This window comes from Homo sapiens, chromosome 10, assembly GCF_000001405.40.
Source record: "Homo sapiens chromosome 10, GRCh38.p14 Primary Assembly".
In the NCBI taxonomy this organism is placed as follows: Eukaryota; Metazoa; Chordata; class Mammalia; order Primates; family Hominidae; genus Homo; species Homo sapiens.
This window is the reverse complement of record NC_000010.11, coordinates 109040364-109048001: the sequence shown is the minus strand read 5'-3', so window position 1 is coordinate 109048001 and position 7638 is coordinate 109040364. Positions and strand designations below refer to the sequence as shown.

General features: G+C 47.6%; 1 annotated feature.

Moving 5' to 3' along the window:
* Nucleotides 5821–7020: an enhancer, noted in NCBI's record as "BRD4-independent group 4 enhancer chr10:110800740-110801939 (GRCh37/hg19 assembly coordinates)". NCBI's record gives its function as "activates an origin of replication core promoter dependent on BRD2, P300/CBP, MED14 and CDK7 cofactors, and independent of BRD4, by STARR-seq in HCT116 cells {active_cell/tissue: HCT116}" and the evidence as "EXISTENCE:reporter gene assay evidence [ECO:0000049][PMID:35650434]".

The following is a 7638-nucleotide window of genomic DNA, read 5'->3' as shown; positions in this document are numbered from 1 at the left end:
CACCTCCCCACGAGCAGAGGGAGCTGGCTTTGGCCTCAGCCAGCCCCAGAGAGTGGCCCTCATAGCTCAGTGGCAGGCTGAAGGGCTCCTCAAGTGTGGCCAGAGTGGATGCTGAGGCCAAGGAGGCGCCGAGAGCGAGTGAGGGCTGCTAGCACGTTGTCACCTCTCAATTCCCCCTCTAAACAGGACACCCCAACAGCTGTTGGGAATTTGGCTGATGACCGCTCTAGCTACTTCCTGCTGGATAGGGGTGAAGAAGGGGCCCTGCAGTTGTAGTGTCCTCCAGAGGGGAACTCTTTAGGCCAGTGAAAGGGCCAGTGGGTCAATCCACGTGTCCTCGGTAGACGTTGTTAGTTGAGCTCATTTGGGGCTCCATTTGTAAGACCATCTCTAGCTTGATGGCCTCAATTCTAGAGGAAACAAATATGACAAGGAGGTTAGAAATACAGGGCCTGAAGGTGAGTAATAGCAGGATGGTTGCCCCGGGAACTAGAAAGGGGAGAAGCCATGTTGCCCAACTCCAGAGGTTGGTATAAGAGTTTGAAAGGCATTGTCTGATTTCGGAAGCCTTTTCCTGTAAATTCCAGGCGCCATCTCGCACTATCCCTGACTGGTTAGTGTAAAAACAACACTCTTTCCCTAAGAAGATGCAGAGTCCTCCTTTCTCAGCAGTGAGGAGGTCTAGGCTTCGGCGGTTTTGGAGAGTCACTGCTGCCAAAGAGTCTATTTGGGATTGTAGAGTAAGGATAGATTTCGTTATTTCTTGCAAACTGTCTGAGAAATCCTTTGAGAGTGTGTGGTAGTAGGATAATGAAGTAGATAAACTGGCTATTCCAGTTCCTGTAGCAGTAGCCATTCCTAACCCTATAAGTAGGGGTATTGGTTGTGTGGCTTTGCACTGACGGACTTGAGCTTTGAGGGGTACTGAGAGGGTCTGATTTCCTGGGGCAGTGTTAATGTTGGGACTTAGACTAAGATGCAGATGCCAGTCCAGTTAGTGGGGAGGCAGATATAGGTTGACATTCCACATAAGAAGAATATACCTTGGCTGGGTAGACAGAACTTTACCCTGGCTTTTAAAGGAATAGGGTACACTGTTTTTTCTTTACTATTTATCTCTCTTTCTTTCTCTTTGACTTCTTCTTTGTCTCTCTCTTTGTCTCTGACTCCCTCTTTGTCTTTTCCTCTCTTTCCTTCTTTGACTTTCTGTCGCTCTGTCTCCTTCTCTTTGTCTCTGTTTCTTCCTCTCTCTCTTTCTCTGACTTCCTGTCTCTTTCTCTCTTTCCTTTCTGCTGCCTCTGCCAGTTGCTTATGCTCCTGTTTTCCCTTCTCCTTCCTCTTTTTGATGGCTTTGGCAGTGTAAGACTGCCACCTCCTTGGGTTTTTGCATTGTGCAATAACTCCATAATTTCCTTGTGGTATTTAATGGGGGTTCCCCCAGAGGTTAGGAACTCCCTTTCTTTCCATATTGCAGCATGGGCATGTAGGATTAGATAAGCATACTTGCTATCTGTGTACACATTTACTCTTTTACCCTTTCCCAGTTCTAAGGCTCGGGTAAGTGCCACTAGTTCTGCTAACTGGGTGCTGGTCCCTGGGGGAAGAGGCTTACTTTCAAGTATGATTACAACACTAACTATGGCATAACCTTCCCTTCATACCCCATTTTCCACAAATGAACTTCCATCGGTATATAGATTAAGGTCAGGATTAGCTAAGGGGACTTCTAAGAGATCATCTCAGGCAGCATAAGTCTGGAATATAATTTGTTGGCAGTCATGATCGATTGGTTCCCCAACCTCTGGGAGAAAAGTGGCAGGGTTGAGGGCCACGCACATACATATTGGAAGCACCAGTCCCTCAAGAAGTGCCTGGTATCTAAGTAGGCAGTTGTCTGATAGCCATAAACTTCCTTTGGCACCTAGTATGCCCTCCACATCCTGAGTAGTCCAGACAGTGAGATCCTTTCCTTGTATTCTCTTGATAGCCTCTGACACTAAGATGGCCACCACGAAAACTACTGACAAACAGTAAGGCCAGCCTTTTGCTACTACATCTATTTCCTTATTTAGGTATGCCACTGGTTGTGAGGTTGTCCCACGAGTCTGGGTAAGGACTCCAAGAGCTATCTCTGCTCTCTCTGTGATGTATAAACGAAGTTTTGTCCTTTTGGAAGGCCTAAAGCTGGAGCTTATACTAGGGCCTGCTTTAAGGTTTTGAAGGCTGTTTCTGCCTCTGGTTCCCATTCTACTAGATGAGTATTTGCCCTCTGGGTTTCCTTGATTAGAGTATAGAGGGGCCTGGCTATCTCGCTGTATCCAGAGATCCATATTTGGCAAAAGCCAGTGATTCCAAGGAACCTCCACAACTGTTTTAATGTCTTAGGGTGAGGATAAGCCATTATAGGCTTTATTCATTCCTTGCTGAGGGCCCTGGTCCCTCTGGATAAGATTAGGCCTAGATATTTGATCTGCTGTAGGCAAAGCTGGGCCTTCGACCTAGACATTTTGTACCCTTGATTAGCTAGAAAGTTCAAGAGATCTAGAGTAGCCTGCTGGTATGAGGCTTCTGAACTAGTAGCCAAAAGTAAATCATCCACATACTGAAGGATCAGAGTGCCTGGACTTGAGAAGTGGCCTAGATCTTGGGCCAATGCCTGACCAAACAGGTGAGGGCTATCCCTAAACCCTTGGGGCAAGACCATCCATGTAAGTTGGGACATGTGGTCTGTGGGATTCTCAAAGACAAAGAGAAACTGGGAGTCAGATTGCAGGGGAATACAGAAGAAGGCATCCTTGAGGACCAGAACAGTGAACCATTCTGCTTCCTCTGGTATTTGAGAAAGCAAGGTATAGGGGTTGGGTACAACTGGATATAGAGGAATTTCTGCCTCATTGATGAGTCTAAGATCTTGCACTAGTCTCCACTGACCATTCGGTTTTTGTACTCTAGAATTGGGGTGTTGCAGGGACTGCTGCATTTTCTTACTAAGACTTGAGCTTTCAAATGTTTAACAATATCCTGTAATCCTTTATGAGCTTCAGGCCTTAAGGGATATTGCCTTTGATAAGGAAAAGTGGTGGGGTCTTTTAGCCTGACTTGGACTGGGTGGGCATTTTTTGCCCTTCCAAATTGTCTTTCCAATGCCCAGACTTCAGGGTTGATTCCCTCCTCAAGTAGGGGACAACAAATGGGTAAATTGTTCCCCATATTCATGTAGATAATAGCTCCAGCCTTGGCTAGTATATCCCTCCCTAATAAGGGTGTGGGACTTTCAGGCATAACAAGAAAGTCATGTGAAAAGGGCAAAGTCTCCCAATTACAATGGAGGAGGTGGGAGAAATACCTGGTTACAGGCTGTCCCAGGATTCCTCAGATGGTAATGGACCTCGAGGACAGTCCAGGACAGGAGATTAACACTGAGAAGACCACACCAGTGTCCAGGAGGAAGTCAACTTCCTGACCTTCAATGGTTAAATGTACCCGGGGCTCAGTGAGGGTGGTGACATGAGCTGGTGCTTGCCCCAGGCACCGTCAGTCCTGTTGTTGGATCATCTGGTTGGGGTCTTCTGGTGGAGAACCTTTGTCCTCTGGGGCAGTGCACCTTCCAGTGATTGCCTCGGCATAGCGGACATGGATGAGGGGGCAGCTTGTTTCTCATTGGACAATCTTTTTTAAAGTGTCCTTGTAAACTGCACTGATAACAAGCCCTACTGGGTGATTGGCCTGCTCCATTTTCTGTCCTCTCTGAACCACCAAGGTTTGTTTGTCTGAGGGCCATGACTAAGGCTGCAGCCTTTCTCTGATCTCGCTTTTCCTTTTGGGCCTGTTCCTCTTGGTCCCTATTATAGAACACCGAGGTTGCCAAGTTTAATAATGCCTCCAAATTCTGTTCAGGGCCCAGGGCTTGCTTTTGAAGCTTTCTCCTGATATCTGTGGCTGATTGGGTAATAAACTTATCTTTTAGGATCAATTGACACTCAAGTGATTTGGGTGACAGAGGAGTGTATTTTCTTAAGGCATCCTGTAGCCGCTCAAGGAAGGCAGAAGGATTTTCTTCCTTTCCCTGAGTTATGGTGGACATCATTGAATAATTCATGGGCTTTTTCCTAATTCTCTTTAGTCCTTTTAGAACACAGGTCAACAGACATTTATGACTCCAGTCCCCATGATCTGAATCAAGGTCCCAGTGGGGATCCATACTGGAGATGGCTTGCTGACCAGTAGGGAATTTATCCCTTTCTTTGGCTGTCATTCTACCATTTAGTTGACTAAGATACCAGGTATCTCCAAACTCTCGGGCTGCAGCTAAAGCCACATTCTTTTCATTAAAGGCCAGGGTTTGATCTACCAATAGCATGACATCTCTCCAAGTGAGACAGAAGGTTTGCCCTAGACCCTATAGCACATGTATGTACCCATCAGGATCATCTGAAAACTTCCCCAGGTCTGCCTTGATCTGCTTTAAATCAGAGAGGGAGAAGGGGACGTGTACTGGGTTGTGCCAAATTCCCCTCCCCCTACAGCTTGAAGGGGACATAACCAATAGCCTGGGGGTTTTTGTGGTCTTTTGGAGATTTCTTTGCTTATTTCCTTTGGGTGGGGGAGATTAGAGGAGGATTATCATTAATAGGAAGCAGAGCTATAGGGAGGCTAGGATATGGGAGTAAGCAGAAAGGTCCTCCTTTGGGATGTAAATTGCAAGCTTTGCATAGTTGTGTAGTCTCCTTCAATGAAAAGAAGGCTTGGACATAAGGTATTTCACTCCATTTGCCTTCCCTCTTACATAAAAGATCAAGCTGCAGGGTAGTATTGTAATTTGTACTTCCCTCAGATGGCCATTTTTCCACATCAGAGAGAGAATATTGGGGCCAGGCCATAGTGCAGAAAAAAATGAGCTGCCTCTTTTTCAGGGTTTGCAGATCAAATTGGTCCCCATGGCTTAGGATGCATTTCAAGGTTGAGCCCGTGATGCCTGAGTGTTTCCCATCTGAAAGACAAAACTGCCTGCAGTTTTGGTTTGTTTTGTTTCTCCCCCTGCCCAGGAACCTGCAACGGTCCCTGGACCCTGCTGATTGGAATAGTTGCACTCACCAATGCAGCAGCAGAAACAACCCCTGCCCAAGAACCTGCAGCGGTCCCTTGACCCTGCTGGTAGGAATAGTCGTGCTCACTGATGCAGCAGCAGAAACACTAGTTTTCCTCCCAGACCACAAGGAGGACCAAGGAAGGTCAGATTTAGTGGCTTTTACTGACACATTCTTGAAAACCTGCACCCTTACCTGTCCTCCTAGACCACAAAGAGGACTGAGAAAAATCAGATTTAGTGGCCCTTACTGACACATTCTTGAAAACCTGTTAGAGTCCTAAGCATTTTCCTGTTACTACTGGGACCTTACCCCATCCTGTAGAGATGTTATTCCCCAAAACTGAAGTGGAGGGCCATACCCTGAGGGAGGGAATGGATCTCCAGGGTTGGAAGAGTGATGCCTTTTGTCCTCATTTATATGAATAGGAAGGATACAATATCTGAGGCTCCCCGTATCCTAGCTTCAGGAATAGCTTTTGTTAGGCCTGCTAGTTTGAGGAGGGGTCTAAAATTCCAGACAGTCACCCTTATGATGAGGCTTTGGGCAAAAATTATGTCTTTCTGATTGGTGAGCCCGGGTGCCAAAAAAAGTTAACAGAGTCCTGGAGTTTATACTAGAAATCATTCTTACAGGAGAAACTAGAAAAGCACCAGAGACAGGGAGTGGTTTTTAGAAGCGGGACTAGCCTTGGAGGAGAAAGGAAAGAGGAAGTTTGTCTGACAGGCATTAGGACCCAGGAGGCAAGGGTCAGGATAGATAGGATAGATGGGCGAGTCTCACTTGGGCGACATGTCTTTGAGAGTTCCACTCATGGCCGCAGGGTCAAGCAACTTGTTGTCAGGACCCCAGAGCTGAATGGCTTTCCTCTCTGTTGACCCATGGCTCAGCCCAGAAGTACAGGAAAAGCGGAAGCTGGTTCCAGGCAAACCAATGCTCCCAACTCCAAAGAGTTGGGAGTTGTTAGAGAGCCCTTTCCCAGAAAGCCTGACACCCATGTCTTTAGTACGGTGGCCACGCTACTCGCTTTTAACTGGCTGACAGGTGCCCGGTATTTAGCCCCCGAATTCTAAGGAAAAATAGAATAGCAAGTGAAATGGGTCTGATGGTACTCACCACTTGGCGATAGGCGATAGTCTCACCGATAGGTGATAGTTTCACCACTTGGTGATAGGCGATAGTCCCATCTGGGTCACCAAAATATGTCTGGAATTGGTGGGTTCTTGGTCTTGCTGACTTCAAGAATGAAGCCGCGGACCCTCGTGGTGAGTGTTACAGTTCTTAAAGATGGTGTGTCGGAGTTTGTCCCTTCAGATGTTCAGATGTGTCCAGAGTTTCTTCCTTCTGGTGGGTTCATGGTCTCGCTGACTTCAGGAGTGAAGCTGCAGACCTTCGAGGTGAGTGTTATGGCTCCTAATGTTGGCGCATCTGGAGTTGTTCGTTCCTTCCGGTGGGTTTGTGGTCTCGCTGGCCTCAGGAATGAAGCTGCAGACCTTCGCGGTGAGTGTTACAGCTCATAAAGGTGGTGCGGACCCAAAGAGTGAGCAGCAGCAAGATTTATTGTGAAGAGCAAACGAGCAAAGCTTCCATAGTGTGGAAGGGGACCTGAGCAGGTTGCCGCTGCTGGCTCAGGGAGCCTGCTTTGATTCCCTTATCTGACCCCACCCATATCTTGCTGAGTGGAGCATTTTACAGAGAGCTGATTGGTCCATTTTACAGAGAGCTGATTGGTCCGTTTACAATGCTTTAGCTAGACACAAAAGTTCTCCAAGTTCCCACTAGATAAGCTAGACACAGAACACTGATTGGTGCATTTACAAACCTTTAGCTAGGCAGAGTGCTGATTGGTGCATTTACAAACCTTTAGCTAGACACAGAGTGCTGATTGGTGCGTTTAAAATCCTTTAGCTAGACAGAAAAGTTCTCCAAGTCCTCACCCATCCCAGAAGCCCAGCCGGCTTCACCTCTCACTGGCACTCACTACGGGACTCTGCAGCACCCAGCCTGGGCACTCTGGCAGCCCAGAGGGAGCTCATCCCCCAGTCAAGCCCAGCAGGCACTGGCCGGCCGTTCCGAGTGCGGGACTGCTGAGCCCGCGCCCACCCGGAACCCTCGCCGGCCTGCGAGTGCTGCATGCAGACCTGGTTCCCGCCCGTGCCTCTCCCTCCACACCTCCCTGTGAGCAGAAAGAGCTGGCTCTGGCCTCGACCAGACCCAGAGAGGGACCCTCATAGCACAGCAGTGGGCTGAAGGTCTCTTCGAGTGTGGCCAGAGCGGATGCCAAGGCCCAGGAGGTGCCGAGAGCGAGCGAGGGCTGCTAGCACATTGTCACCTCTCAGGAACCATAAGAACCTATGCATGAAGAAGGTGAAGGCCCTAGCTCTATAAACCATTGAATTCATATATTCTTCTATGTATACTTATAGGCATGTGTGCATGTGTGTATGGGTGTGTGTGTATACACACACATTTATAAATGTATATATATTAGGAGTCTGAATTTTATTTTGTATATACTGAGAAGACATTAAGAAGATTTACATAGCGAATA